Source organism: Homo sapiens, chromosome 1 (genome assembly GCF_000001405.40).
Source record: "Homo sapiens chromosome 1, GRCh38.p14 Primary Assembly".
Taxonomy (NCBI): domain Eukaryota; kingdom Metazoa; phylum Chordata; class Mammalia; order Primates; family Hominidae; genus Homo; species Homo sapiens.
This window is the reverse complement of record NC_000001.11, coordinates 62,569,435-62,585,568: the sequence shown is the minus strand read 5'-3', so window position 1 is coordinate 62,585,568 and position 16,134 is coordinate 62,569,435. Positions and strand designations below refer to the sequence as shown.

Here is a 16,134-nt window from a genome sequence, read left to right as displayed (position 1 = left end):
AGTAGATTGAGACCAGACTAGAGATTCTTGACTGTCCAAATTGTCATTCAGGATTTGTGGGACACTAATAAATGCAAGTTTCATGAGAGTGAATTTTTGGCTCAGCTGAAGTCAGTAACATATGGAATAGAAATATGCTATTGCTATAGATTCTCAACCTCTGAGAACCCTAGTGGGATGAAAATGACCTAAGAATAGGTGCATTGTTAATAGTCTTATTTTATCCTTCCATGTCCATCTTTTAATGAAGTTCTTCTGATTTTCCACATACTGGGAAAGATACATTTTCATCTACCCTATTGCCTCAGTTACATCAACATTTGTAGATATCCTTGACAACAGTGAGCACAAATTATTCATCTTTGTATTCTCGTATGGCATTTTTTTCAGATTATTGCATATAATACATACTGAATAAATATTTGTTGAATAATTGTAGAATTTATTTTTGAGATTTGGAATTCACATTTCATGTTTTATACTAGTTCATTTCTGCTGAAGGAATGAATGTACTATGATAGTTGATGAAAAGATACTAGATTGTGAAAATAGATACTTGGTCAGCCTATGTGTGAGTTGCCATATGAATTTGAGCATACGACAAATGTAATATATGTAGAATAATCTATTTTTTATTGTTTACCTAACAAACTCTTCCTTGTCTTATCATATATGTGGCCTCCTCTACAGAGCCCCAGCTGCACCCATCCTATACCGACAGTTAGACCTCTCCCTCTTTGGTGCTACCATAGCATCTTCTCACTTCTTTCATGGGACTTTATCACTTGATGATTCTATATTTCTTAATTTCACCCATTAGATTGTGAGCTCCTTGAGGGCAGGGACGATGTCTTACTCATGTCTATATCTTGACTCCTGTCACATTTTTGGATAAATAATTAATGCTCAATCCATATTGCTAAATGATTAAAAGTACATGTCAAATGGTCAAAAAAGGAACACTGTCTGCTTTATGTCATATTATGAAAATAAACAAGTTATTTTGTGAAAAGTGATAGCTTCTCAGAGGGAAAAAAGGTATTGCATTTCTTTTACTTGTGTGTTATTAGTCATATGAAAATACAATGTTTTTATGTATGAAATGGCTGATTTGAAAGAGTATATAAACATAGACATACTGTGTTTGCCTTTTTTAAAAAAAGGGCTGTTTAAATGGGTCCTAAGATAACTTTTTGATAATGTAATATTGACATGATAAAATTGTAAACTTCATAATTCTGGCACAGGAACAATTTATGAAAACATACTAAGGTATTTGTAAATTGATGAAATAATATATATCTTAGGAAAGTCATAATTATTACACTTGTACATACCCTTAAAATAAAAGAGCCTGCTTGAAATGTTGCAAAAAGAAACAGAAATACCTGCTAATATGCCCTTCTAATTAAGGATGATGCCAATTAATCTCTTTATATAAATAATAAACTTTGAGTTGTTTTACCAGTTGTGTTGATGGAATTGTCTGACATGTTCACATATCTATTCATGCATATGTAAAGATGGCTATACAGACTTTAAAAGTTTAATCTCTGGCTAGATAACACTGCAAGTCTGTCTCACATAGGAATTATAGCTATAACCTTGACATTGAGCCATTTATCTAATCAGCTGCTCTGATTAACGACAGTATTCCTGTTATTACTCCAGAAGTCAAGAGACAGATATACAAGGCTGAATTACTTTATCTATAAACTTATTCCAAAAGTAATATTGTATTCTTTTTAATGTGGTGGATTAAAAATATATATATATGCAAAAATATAAGAATGGAGCTCCTCCTCTATTGTAGAGTAGCTTGAAGGAAATATTAGAAGCAAAGGATACATAGCTTGACCTAAAATAGGATTTCTGATATCATATATAATTTATATTTGACTTTCAGAATGACTCTGCTGTTTTAGTGTTGAAGCCAACAATTTGTATAGTAGGTTTATGCCACTATTTATATTTCTTACATAAGTTCCAAATAATATGCTACATCTGATTTAAAAGTGAATTCTTCACCTTCTTTAAGAAAAAGGAAAGAAATGTATCTAATTTCCCAGTAGATATAAATAAAATTGATAGAAACTTTTGAAATATTTAAATGTCAGATGGGTCTGTTGTTGAAAAGAAACTTATAGTTAAGCAATTGAACTTTTTGATGAACGTCAGTAGGCACATTGTTCTTCATTGGGCTGATTTTGCCCATTTTTCTCAAATAGTTATTAAATCAGACAAATTCTTACATAGTTATGAAACATCCAGCATTTACTACAACAAAGTTTCAACATGCTGTTATTTGTTTCAGGTAATCTTTGGTAAATCTAGCTGTTCAGAATTTTCAAAGGAAGCCTATACAGCCGTAGTATATCATAACAGGTACTGAATTCAAATATTTCTTTCAAAGTTACTCACTTCTCAGTGGCATTGTTAGCACTCACATTAGTGTGTTTACCAAATGCTTTGCTGCACTAAATGTGCCAAATTCAAGGCTGACATCAGAGTTATAATTTTCAACCTGTGGATGCACAGCCATTCTCTATTGACATCCCAAATATGACTTTGTACACCAAACATCTTTTCTATCGAATTCTCTGATCCTTTCATTTTTATTATATTGTTATTGATTATCATTGTGGCCGCTGGTCCTTTGGTCTTTCCCAGTTATTTCCACCTGACACTTTGTAGTAACTTTACCCTTTACTAAGCTTGAACACATTAGTCAGTTAAATTGGTGATGTTACCAGTATCCATTAATTCTTTGATTTAGTGACTTGTCATTTTTCTTCCTTGGGAAATTGCTAACTTTGGATAACCTTTAATTTCTTCTTTCTTTTGGGGGGATTATTGAATACTGTTGGGGAAAAATCACAAAATTGTACTAATCAGGACTATCACAAATTGATGTTATTGTATCATATGATAGGGCTACAGCAATTCATTTTATCTTTTTTTTTTTGGGGCCCACAGCTCTTTTATAATCTTTTTTTTTTTTTTTTTTTTTTTTTTTTTTGAGACGGAGTCTCGCTCTGTCCCCCAGGCTGGAGTGCAGTGGCGGGATCTCGGCTTACTGCAAGCTCCGCCTCCCGGGTTCACGCCATTCTCCTGCCTCAGCCTCCCAAGTAGCTGGGACTACAGGCGCCCGCCACTACGCCCGGCTAATTTTTTGTATTTTTAGTAGAGACGGGTTTTCACCGTTTTAGCCGGGATGGTCTCGATCTCCTGACCTCGTGATCCGCCCGCCTCGGCCTCCCAAAGTGCTGGGATTACAGGCGTGAGCCACCGCGCCCGGCCTCTTTTATAATCTTATTGTTTTAACACTTTGCCTTCATTTAGCAGTAGCTACAGGAGTTTCTTCTAGCTCCTGCTTCTTTTCTATGTGCTTTACTCTCAGCATTCCTATTTATCAAGACTATCCAACTTGACGTGGTCCATCAACTTCTCTACTCTTCATCTCAAATTCTCTATACTGATTTGCCTTTCCTTCTGTTTCAAGGGGAGTGATGGCCTACTCCCTGTTAAATGTGAATCTTTTCACCTCTGCTTTCAAATGATCCTTTTAACCTCTTCCAGAATATAAGTCAATCATTTATCCGGTTTCTTGCAGCATTAGTCTCCTGCTTCATTGGCTCTGTCTCTTATTCTCAAAAAGAAGCTTCTGTTTCCATACTTAAAAACACAACAGTCCTTTCTTGGTGCTGTTGTATAGTATGTATTTTCCTTGCCCTTCTTAAAACTTTCTTCTTTCTTGTCTTTATATTGTGGCCTTGTCTTGAGCTTCCTTCTACCTCTTTGAACACTTCTTTTTTTTTTCTGTAGTATTCTTTTTCCCGTAAGTGTAAGGCATTCCACACAAAACACTAACGTTTTGCCCTTAACCCTCATTCTTAATATATTGTTTTCTTAAATAATCGTACATGTATCTCTCAGAGTTACATTCAGTGAAAATGCTACTGCTTTAATATTTATGTGGATTGTTTCCAACTCTATTTTTAGTAATACCTTCCTTCTGAAGTACAGATATATATTTTTAGTGGCCTACTGGACATACTCATTTGGATGCCCTGCTGTCTTCTCTGTGTTCATATATCTATCCTTGACTCTTGTCCTGACCCTATGTCTTTCTTACTCTCCATTTTTATTAATGATACCACCATTTTCCAGTTACTCTGGCGCAAAATTTAAGACATCTTTGTCTTTCCTCTTCTCTAATATTCAATCATCTGTTAAGTCTTGCTGATTTCTTTTCTGCTTTATTACTAAACATAACCTGTGCTGTCCTGTTTCTGGGCCATTCTTGGTTTTTTTTCTATTATAATACCAAATCCCTTTACTTATTGAACTCCTACTCATTCTTCAAGGTCCATATCAAATATTACCTCCTAAGTTACAATTCCCTGATCTCAAACTTGAAGTAATCTGTTCAGCTCTGTTTTTGAAGCACATAACCCTATATGCTGTATACCAGGGGTCGGCAAAAATTTTCTACAAAGGACTGGATGGTATATATTTTAGGCCTGTGGTTATATGGTCTCTCTTGCAGCCATTCATCTATGCCATTATAGTGCAAAAACAGCCATAGGCAGTAAGTCATGTTACAAGTAAATGGGTGTAGCTGTGTTCCAATAAAGCTTTATTCATGGACATTGAAATTTGAATTTCATATTATTTTCACATGTTGTGAAATATTATTCTTTTTTACCCCCAATCATTTAAAAATGTAAAAACCATTCTTAGTTTGCAGGCTATACAAAACCAGGCAGTGAACTATTTTTAGCTCATAGGCCATAGTTTGCCAACCCCTGTTTTATAGCATAGCTATTGATATATATGTGTCTTACTTATATTCCTGCTGTTGCCTAGTTTTTGAGGGAAGTTTTTTTTTAATCTTCATCTTTAAAACCACCACAAAAGTAATGCAATGTTTAGCCAAAGGTGGGCAATTAAACCTACTTATTGAATGAATAACTCTCTTAGATATTTAATTTTCAACAAAAGTCTTCACATTACATGATTTTTAGGACAGAAGTGAACTAAAACACTGAATACCAAGAAATATATTGATAAGGAAGATAGTAATTTCTAAAAATTATCTCATTTTATTGCTAGGTCTTTATTTTTGTTCTCAGCATTAGTGGAATTAAAATGACTATGCCATCTGACATTGTTGGTAAACTCAACTTTCTCATAATTCAGTGGTGATTTGGTGGGATTGGTAATAAGATGCCTAGTGTCTTATTTTTTTTCACTGAAGTCATCAAGTTCTCAGATGGCTAACATTAGCTATCTTTCTTGTTTATTATCAAAAGCCTTGTTCTACTTAATATTCCTGTGTTCAAGTCTATACCTGTTAATGTTTTTGAGGCTTATTTGAGATAGAAGGATATTTGACCTATTAACATCTAAGGAAGAAAACCTGATTGGTGGGACAGACCTCGCTTTAAAGATAGTTGGAGCAATATGGTTTGGTTGCATTTTTGTTGAATGTAATTCTGAGAGATACTCACTGAATATGGAAGGTTGGGATGCTAAGGTTTTATCCCTTTTTGTTATGAATAGCAGCCGTGCTTTTCTATAAAAGTGCCCTCTTGGGATTATTCTCAATGAATATTGAGAAGAAAGTGTCATTGGTTTGGTCAAACAAGATATTTGATGTATTCTTAAGAGTCTGGAAGCGCTTCTAAACTGAGGCAAATGCAGTTTGTGGGCGTTTCCTGATTTTACTGGTTTTTTTTGTTTGTTTTAGTGGTCAATTCTAGTCCATATTTAGGATTTAGGTAACTTTTTTTATTTCTTCAACAGTGAGATGGTTGATATAAGACAGTCTATAGAGCAAAACTTGATCTTTTTTTTTTTTTTTTTTTTTTCGGTCTCACTCTGTCACCTAGGCCAGAGTGCAGTGGCAGGATCATAGCTCACTGCAGCCTTGAACTCCTGGACTCAAGTGATCCTCTCATCTCGGCCTCCCAAGTAGCTAGGACTTTTTTAAATTTTTTGTAGAGATGAGTCTGGCTATGTTGTGCAGACTGGTCTCAAACTCCTGACTCCAAGTGATCCTGACGCCACAGCCTCCCAAAGTGCTGGGATTACAGGTGTGAGCCACTACACCTGGCCTCCAATGTGATATTTTGATATTAAGTTGTCTAAAGATGCCTTTTTTCCCATTTTTTTACAAAAGGATGATAAACATTAGTTTTAATATGAAAGCATTCTCCTATGAAGGAAAAATGTTTTATGTAATGTTTATCAGAATTGGCTCATAAATAGAGAACTCCCTACCTTAGTGTCCTCTTTTATGCAGCTTCCAATCTAATGGAGATCTCAGGATCAAAGTGGTGATTATTAATGAACTTTTAAATAGTAGGATTACTCAGCCCATTAAGAAAATTGGGATGAGAAATTTCAGAAACAGTGGCAGCTCTCTTATATGGAAGTAAGATTTAGTTATTTAGAGATTGGGGATAAAGAAAAATATTTTGGACTAGAGGAAAAATTAAACATGAATCTTAAAATTTTAAAATTATTCAAATATACAAATACATTATTTATTTTGGACAAATTACTGACTGTTGATTTTTTTTTTTTTTTGTATGAAGGTCTCCTGATTTTCATGAAGAAATCAAGGTTAAGCTTCCTGCTACTTTAACTGACCATCATCACTTGCTTTTTACTTTTTATCATGTTAGTTGTCAACAAAAACAAAATACTCCTCTTGAAACACCAGTTGGATATACAGTGAGTCCTTTTGGTTCAATATTTAGATCAAAGAGCTAAAATAATGGTGATATTTAAGATATAATTGATATTTCTGGTCATTTGTGGGTTTTTTTTTTTTTTTTTTTTTTGAGACAGAGTCTCTGTCTCCCAGGCTGGAGTGCAGTGGCGCGATCTTGGCTCACTGCAACCTCCGTTTCCTGGGTTCAAGCAGTTTTCCTGCCTCAGCCTCCTGAATAGCTGGGATTACAGGTGCCCGCCACCATGTCCAACTAATTTTTTTGTATTTTTAGTAGAGATGGGGTTTCACCATGTTTGCCAAGTTGGTCTCAAACTCTTGGCTTCAAGTGATCTGCCTGCCTCGGCCTCCCAAAGTGCTAGGATTACAGGCGTGAGCCATGGCGCCTGGCCTGTTTCTTGTTATTTAAATATTTCTTGTCTGATTCCCCACAGTTATGAAGTTGCATTGATTAGGAAGAGCCATTATAACAAGAAAATGCCCATTAATGTAATTAACTAATGTAATTAATTGATTTATTGACTAACACGTATAAACACTTGGGTGTTGGTCCTGATTATTAGGTGTATACCCAACAATGCAGTATAAATATAATAGGTTCATAGACTCTTCAGCAGATAATGATTTTATATAAAATGAGTAAAAGAGACTATTGGAGAATAAATTAAAACCCTTGAGTATTTTTCAAAATTATGCTTTCCAGCTTGGCATAACCCCATCTCTACCAAAAATACAAAAATTAGCTAGGCGTGGTGTCGTGCACCTGTGATCCCAGCTGCTAGGGAGGCTGAGATGGGAGGATTGCTTGAGCCCGGGAGGCAGAGGTTGCAGTGAGCCAAGATCATGCCATTGCACTCTGGCCTGGGCGATGGAGTGAGACTCTTGTCTCAAAAAAAAAGAAAAAAAAAATTACTATGGTTGAATTGCAAAGATAAACCTAAGATGAAGGAAGTCATGGTATAACACAGTTCTGTCAGAAAAATTATGCTTTCAGCCAGAAGAGAAAAGCCAACATTTGATTCATTATTTTTGTCTCTTGCAGTTTGTGACATGAGTTTTGCTCTAACTGTAAGAAAATAAATTTATGATCATACTTTTTGTTTCTATCATTCCTGTCTCAATCAATTATTTCTTTCACTATTTACATTGAAATGATTATCTCAGTTTTAAAATGGATTTACTTCATGGCTTTTTTCTAAGACCAACTTTTTGCCTCTAGATTTTAATATTGCATGGTTAGTAATAATAATGTTTTGGTGATATCCTCCTTAATAAAATTTCATTAGGGAAACTTCTCTTTAGAGGGATTATGAAGGCCTATTATTATTATTACTTGTATAATTAAATCCCTTAATGTTTGATGATATGGGACAAATTTGGCTTGTACCAAGTTCTTAAAACATGCTAAGTAATTATTTTTATAGCAAGCATATTTAAAATAAAATTGTTTTCTTTTCATTTAAAAGTGGATACCAATGCTTCAGAATGGACGGTTGAAGACTGGCCAGTTTTGCTTGCCAGTCTCATTGGAAAAACCACCACAGGCTTATTCTGTACTGTCTCCTGAGGTCAGTGTCTCCCATGTTGACTTTCTCCAGATTGAATGAAATGGGTTTTTTACTATAAAGATGTTTTTACCAAGCAAACTCTTGCCATTTCTTCTACTTAAAGTTTATAGATAATGAAGGAAAAGTATTTTCTCCCGTGGTTAAAATTCTTTTACATAAAACTTAAAAGCTTTTATCCTGTTTTTAAATTTAAATTTAAATTTCATTTTAAATGTAAATATCCTCATTTTAAAACCAAAATAATACATGGAATGTAAACTCAAAAGATCATTTTGGAGAATTTTCATACTGTAACTTGAGAAACTTCTTTAAATAAATGAATATTTCTTTTTTATTTTTAGTAGACTTAACATTTCACTAAAAGACTGGAGGAAGGAAAACAGATTTAAATTAATTTTTTAGAATCTTTTTGTAATTGAAGATCATGTGAATGAAAACAAAGTAGCTGTGAACCTGTAATACATGAGATATTGGCAACTTTGATGATTACATATGGGATTTGAAAGACTTGTAACACAAATATTGGAAAAATCTCAATCAAGAATCAATAGCCACCGTTCATAAACCAAAGTTCCTCTTGAGAGAAACACAATGGTTGTCAGTGTCTCTTAATGATTTTGAATATAACTGCTGGTAAATGTTACTCTAAAATACGTTTTGTGAATATTTTCCTGGTGCTATTTGTTTTCAGAATACAATTCAAAATGTATTCACAAATAAATTTTTATGTATTTTTATTTTTAAAAAACAATTCAAGGCTATTGCTCTGATCTTATTTCTCACTGTTCTCTGTCACTCACTTTTGATAGCCACATAGCACAGAGCCTCTGCTGTTCCTTACACACGAAAAGTGCATTTGCATTTCAGGCCCTTTGCTCTTCCCTCTGCTGGCAGTGCTCTATCACAAAGCCTGGTTCTTCATTTTACTCAGACCTCTACTCAAATATCACCTCACCAAGGAAGTCATCTATGATTATTCTAAATAGCAGCCTCTCCCACTTTATCTCTTTATTTTTCCTCATGTCATTTATCATTGACTTTGTATTTAAAATGTTTTTTGCTTATTTATTCTCTATAGAGTATAAACACTATGAGGGTAGGAACTTTGTCTGTCTTGCTCATTGCTGTCTACAAGTATTTAGAACAGTACTTGGCACATCATAGACACTCAATATATACTTATTAGATTAATGAATAAAGACAGTAGAGTAAGAAATATGACTCTCCCTCCTCCCAATCTTTCATTCATTTTTCCAGGGACACATCTTTTCAGTGATGACTTTTTCATGTGACTTTGTTATATAGAAAGGTGGCCATTTGTCAGAGAGCATTATGTTTCAAAGGAGATGTTTTAAAAGAAAATATATTTTTGTTGAAGTTAAGGATTTGTTTTTACTTAATTGCAGTGCAAGTTCAGCTTTCTAAAGGGAGACTCATGATTTTCTTCTAGCTACCATACTGTATATGCTCACAGATCAAGAATATGGTGATAATTTGGATTTGACTGTAGACATATAATATAGCTGCTTGATATGTGAAATAAGCCACCTGATTAAGAGCCAAAACTTTTGTAAACAGTTGACCCTTAAACAACATGGCAGTAAGGGGTGACATCCCTCCTCCCTAGCATGCACTTGAAAAATCCACGTATAACTTTTGACTCCCTAAAAACTTAACTGCTAATATAATAGCTTACTGTTGACTGAAAGCCTTACCAGTAACATAAACAGTTAATTAGCATGTATTTCGTATGTTAAATGTATTATATACCATATTCTTAAAGTGATATAGAGGAAAGAAAATGTTCTTAAGAAAATCATAAGGCACAGAAAATATATTTACTATCACTAAGTAGAAGTGGATCGTCATCAAGGCCTTCATCCTCATTGTCTTCATGATGGGTAGGCTGAGGAGGAGGAGGAAGAGTAGGGATTGGTCTTGCTATCTTAGAGGTAGCAGAGGCAGAAGAGGTGGAAGGGGAAGCAGGCACACTTGGTGTAACTTTACAGAAATACATCATAATTTCTGTCTGACATTTTTGCTTTTTCATTCCTCTAAAAATATTTCCAGAGCAGGATGCAGTGGCACACCTGTAATCCCAGCTTCTTGAGAGGATCACTCGAGTTCTGGAGTTCGAGGCTGCACTTTGCTGTGGTTGTGCCTTTGACTAGCCAGTGCCCTCCAGCCTGGGAAACATAGCAAGACCCCATCTCTTTTAAGAAAGTGTTTCTGGCCAGGTGTGGTGGCTCATGCCTGTAATCCCAGCACTTTGGGAGGCCGAGGTGGGCAGATCACCTGAGGTCAGCAGTTCAAGAACATCAGGGCTAACATGGCAAAACTCCTTCTCTACTAAAAATACAAAAAATTAGCCAGGTGTGGTGGCAGGCACCTGTAATTCCAGCTACTTGTGAGGCTGAGGCGTGAGAATCGCTTGAACCCGGGAGGCAGAGGTTGACAGTAAGCCGAGATTGTGCCACTGCACTCCAGCCTGGGCGGCAGAGTGAGACTCTGTCTCAATATAAAAAAAAGAAAAAAAATATTTCTATGTGGTGCCAATCTTTATTCGTTTGTTTTAGTTTTAGTGCCCTTAGCACAGATGGGTCCATGTTTTAAAAGAAGTCAAAAGCAGTCTTGAATAACCCTTCTGCCATGTTGTATAATGTCAGTTTGTTTTCTGACACTGTTTCTTCTATGTTTGCTGCCTCAATGTCTGGCACTGGTTTAAAAGCACTCATCTCCATCAAGTCTTCTTCTATTAATTCCTCCAGTCTGGTGTCTATGAGCTTGTGAGTTTCTCCTTGGAAATCTATACCCCTCACTTTTTTTTTTCCTTTTTGCCATATCCACAATTTATTTCATGATTTTCTTGATTGGCTCTGTCATAAAGTCTGTAAAGTCATGACAACCTCTGGACACAGTTTTCTCCAGCAAGAATTTATTGTTTCAGGCTTGATGGTTTTTGTTAGAACAATGATAGCATTTTCAGTGGTATAATCCTTCCAAACTTTAATGATGTTCTATTTATTGGGGTTCTCTTCATAGCATTCACACTCCTTTCCGTAGAGTACCGTGTGTGATGAATCTTAAAGATCCTTGTGACTCCCAATCTAGAGGCTGAATTAGAAACATGGCATTTAGGGGCAGGTAGAAGACTCTGATGCCTTCTGTGTTGAACTCATGGGGTTCTGGGTGGCCAGTGGCATTGTCTAATATCAAAATAACTTCAAAATGCCGTTCCTTACAGCCAAGGTACTTCCTGACTCCTCCCCTTTTCCATACTCTTCTTCCTTGTAACTGTATAAAATTAGGATTTTTAAAAATTATGGTAAAAATGCTTGGCATGGTGACTCATACCTATAATCCCAGTGCTTTGGAAGGCTGAGGTGGGAGCAGGAGTTCGAGTTTACAGTGAACCTTGATTGCACCACTGCACTCCAGCCTGGGTGACTGAACAAGAACCTGTCTCTTCAAAATAAATAAATAAATAAAAATATTATGGTAAAAAATGTATAGAACATAAAGTTTATCATTTTAATTTTAAGTGTACATTTCTGTAGCCTTAAGTATATTCACAGTGTCCTGAAAACAAGCCTTTTAAAATTACTTTTAAAATGAAGTATTTGTATGCCAAAATATGATATTATTTACTTTATTTTATGAATTTAACAAAAAGCTTATGGCATTGTTTTACTAAGATTTAGTGTTTCTGCTATATGTAGTTCCTATTTCATTCACTTTCTCTGCTTTATAATATTATTCAGTTCTTACCTCTTTGAAATCCATTCTCACAAAATAAAGCAATTTTAAAATTAAAATTAGGTGGTTTCATTCTATTGCTTATGATCAAATAAAACATTTCTCTGGCTTTTTCTTGCACATAGACATAATCCAAGTATTTTTTCACATGACCTACAAATCTCTGAATGATTTGGTCTTTTCCACTTCTCCAGCATCATCGTCTACAATCATTACTACATCCCTTTCTCTCTGCACTGACAGCTTCTTCCAAGCTTTTTTCTGCCTCCAGCCCTTTGAATTTTCTCTTTTCTTTTCTTGATCTTGACATAGCTGAGTCTTTTTCTTTATTAAAATTGTAGACACAGCAGCATTTCCTCAAAGAAGTCTTTCTTCACTGCATGAATTTGCAACCTTTCCCTCCTCCATGCTACTGATACACACTCTGTTTCTTTTTAATTCTGTTTTATTTACTGAACAACATAGCCACAATCCAACTCTGTATGTAGGTAATTGTGTAGGAATAATTTATATACCAAATTTAGCAAAGTTAGCTCTCAGAAGAGGTGTGCGATTATGAAGGGATTTTTGTTATTTTTTTAAAAATCTATATGCTTTTGAACGGCAATAGAGCATAATCTTCTAAGGCTTTAATCCTGGCTCCAACACTTAATTGTGTGACCCTGGGCAAGTTTCTTAATCTCTCTGCTATGGAACAGATTGTTTCCCCCCAAAAAATCATATGTTGAAGCCTAACCCTCAATGTGATGGCATTTTGAGATGGAGTCTTTGGAAGGGAATTGGGTTTAGACAAGGTTATAAGGGTGGGGCCTTCATAATTGGATTAGTGCCCTTGTAAGAAGAGACCAGAGAGCTTGACATCCCCTCTCCCCCAGTTGCAAGAAGGTGGCCATCTGCAACCCAGGGTGAGAACCCTCACCAGAAACTGACCATGCTGGCACCTTGATCTTAGACTTTCAGTCTCCAGAACTGTGAGAAAATAAATATCTGCTGTTTAAGTCACCTGTTTATGGTACTTTGTTATGGCAGCCTGAGGTGACTAAGACACTTTCTGTGCCTCAGTTTTTTCATCTGTAAAATGAGAATAATTAAGACTTACAGTAATTGGTTGTATTGATGATTGAATGATATAATAACATGGAGAGCATTTGGAATAGTGCCAGGCACTTGGAAAGTGCTACGGAAGTGTTTGCTACTATTACACCATTGCTATTGCCATTGCTTATTAGAATATTTTAAGATAAAATACATTTTTCACTTTAGCATGAATCGAAATTACCTAGAGGGTTTGTTGTAACACTGATTGTTGGACCTTATTTCCCGAGTTTTTGTGACAGCCGATCTAGGTTGGGGCTTGAGTATTTACATGTCTAACAGTTTTCAGATAATGTTTGTGCTGCTGATTCTCAGACCAGACTTTGAGAACTGTTATTTTTTATTTATTTTTAAGTTCTGGAGTACATGTGCAGGATGTGCAGGTTTGTTACATAGGTAAACATGTGCCATGGTGATTTGCCGCACCTATCAACCCATCACCTAAGTATTAAGCCCAGCATGCATTAGCTATTTTTCCTGATGCTCTCCCTTCCCCACACTCCCCCCAACGACAGGCCCCAGTGTGTATTGTTTCCTTCCCTGTGTCCATGTGTTCTTATTGTTCAGCTCCCACTTATGAGTGAGAACATCCAGTGTTTGGTTTTCTGTTCCTGCATTAGTTTGTTCAGGATAATGGCTTCCAGCTCCATCCATGTTCCTGCAGAGAACATGATCTCATTCCTTTTTATTGCTGCGTAGTATTCCACGGTGTATATGTACCACATTTTCTTTATCCAGTCTATCATTGATGGGCATTTGGGTTGATTCAATGTCTTTGCTATTGTGAATAGTGCTGCAATGAACATACACATGCATGTGTCTTTATAATAGAATGATTTCTATTCCTTTGGGTATATACCCAGTAATGAGATTGCTGGTTCGAATGGTATTTCTGGTTCTAGGTCTTTGAGGAATCTCCACAATGTTTTCCACAATTATTGAACTAATTTACCCTCCCACCAACAGTGTAAAAGTGTTCCTATCTCTCTACAGCTTCACCAGCATCTGTTGTTTCTTGACTTTATAATAATTGCCATTCTGAGTGGTGTGAGATGGTATCTCATTGTGGTTTTGATTTGCATTTATCTGATGATCAGTGATACTGAGCTTTTTTTCGTATGTTTGTTGGCCACATGAATGTCTTCTTTTGAGAAGTTTCTGATCATGTCCTTTGCCCACTGTTTAATGGGGTTGTTTTTTTCTTGTAAATTTGTTTAAGTTCCTTGTAGACTCTGGATATTACACCTTTGTCAGATGGATAGGTTGCAAAATTTCTCTCCCATCGTGTAGGTTGTCTGTTCACTCTGATGATAGTTTCTTTTGCAGTGCAGAAGCTCTTTAGTTTATTTAGATCCCATTTGTCAATTTTTGCTTTTGTTGGAATTGCTTTTGATGTTTTTGTCATGAAATCTTTGCTTGTGCCTGTGTCCTGAATGGTGTTGCCTAGATTTTCTTCTAGGGTTTGTATAGTTTGGGGTTTTACATTTAAGTCTTTAATCGTCTTGAGTTAATTTTTGTATAAGGTGTAAGGAAGGGGTCTAGTCTCAGTTTTCTGCATATGGCTAGCCAGTTCTCACAGCACCATTTATTAAATAGGGAATCCTTCACCCATTGCTTGTTTTTGTCAGGTTTGTTGAAGATCAGATGGTTGTAGGTGTTTGGTCTTATTTCTAAGTTCTCTATTCTGTTCCATTGGTCTATGTGTCTGTTTTTGTACTAGCACCATGCTGTTTTGGTTATTGTACCCTTTCAGTATAGTTTGAAGTTGGGTAGCGTGATGCCTCCAGGTTTGTTCTTTTTGTTTAGAATTGTCTTGGCTGTATGGGCCTTTTTTTGGTTCCATGTGAATTTTAAAATAGCTTTTTAAAATAGTTCTGTGAAGAATGTCTACAGTGGTTATATGGGAATAGCATTGAATGTATAAATTACTTTGGGCAGTATGGCCATTTTCACGATATTGATTCTTCCTATCCATGAGCATGGAATGTTTTTCCATTTGTTTGTGTCCTCTCTGATTTCCTTGAGCAGTGGTTTGTAGTTCTCCTTGAAGAGGTCCTTCACTTTTCTTGTTAGCTGTATTCCTGGGTATTTCATTCTCTTTGTAGCAATTATAAATGGGAGTTCATTCATGATTTGACTCTTTTCTTGTCTGTTGTTGGTGTATAAGAATGCTTGTGATTTTTGCACATTGATTTTGTATCCTGAGACTTTGCTGAAGTTGCTTATCAGCTTAAGAAGCTTTTGGGCTGAGACAGTGGGTTTTTCTAGATAGAGGATCATGTCATCTGCAAACCAAGACAATTTGACTTCTTCTCATCCTATTTAAATACCTTTATTTCTTTCTCTTGTCTGATTGCCCTGGCCAAAACTTCTAATACTATGTTGAATAGGAGTGGTGGCTGGACGCAGTGGCCCATGCCTATAATCCCAGCACTTTAGGAGGCCAAGGCAGGCAAATCACTTGAGATCAGAAGTTCAAGACCAGCCTGGCCAACATAGTGAAACCCCGTCTCTACTAAAGATACAAAAATTAGCCAGACGTGGTGGCATGTGCCTGTAATCCCAGCTACTAGAGAGGCTGAGGTGGAAGAATTGCTTGAACCCAGGAGGTGGAGGTTGCAGTGAGCTGAGGTCGTACCACTGCACTCTAGCCTGAGTGACAGAGTGAGACTCTGTCTCAAAAAAAAAGGGGGGGGGGAGGGGGGAGAGTGGTGAGAGAGGGCATCCTTGTTTTGTGCCAGTCTTCAAGGGGAATGTTTTCAGCTTTTGCCCATTCAGTATGATATTGGCTGTGGGTTTTTCATAAATGGCTCTTACTATTTTGAGGTATGTTCCTTCAATACCTAGTTTATTGGGAGTTTTAACATGAAGCGATACTGAATTTTATCAAAGACCTTTTCTGAGCCTATTGAGGTAATAATGTGGTTTTTGTCTTTAGTTCTGTTTATGTGACGGATTACGTTTATTGATTTGCGT

General features: G+C 36.0%; 1 protein-coding gene across 15 annotated transcripts in view; it reads left to right on the top strand.

The window, feature by feature from the left end:
• The window catches only part of DOCK7 (dedicator of cytokinesis 7), a 233,661-nt gene that overhangs the window by 102,818 nt on the left and 114,709 nt on the right, over nt 1–16,134 (top strand). For 14 of the 15 annotated variants that reach the window (XM_047432967.1, NM_001272001.2, NM_001272000.2 and 11 more), the window contains exons 16-18: nt 2,315–2,385; nt 6,603–6,741; nt 8,206–8,307. In XM_047432967.1, the coding sequence (XP_047288923.1) occupies nt 2,315–2,385; nt 6,603–6,741; nt 8,206–8,307 (312 nt within the window). Of the gene's footprint in view, nt 1–690; nt 1,468–2,314; nt 2,386–6,602; nt 6,742–8,205; nt 8,308–16,134 lie in introns of those variants that run through there. The other variant, NM_001272002.2, reaches the window with a different exon arrangement.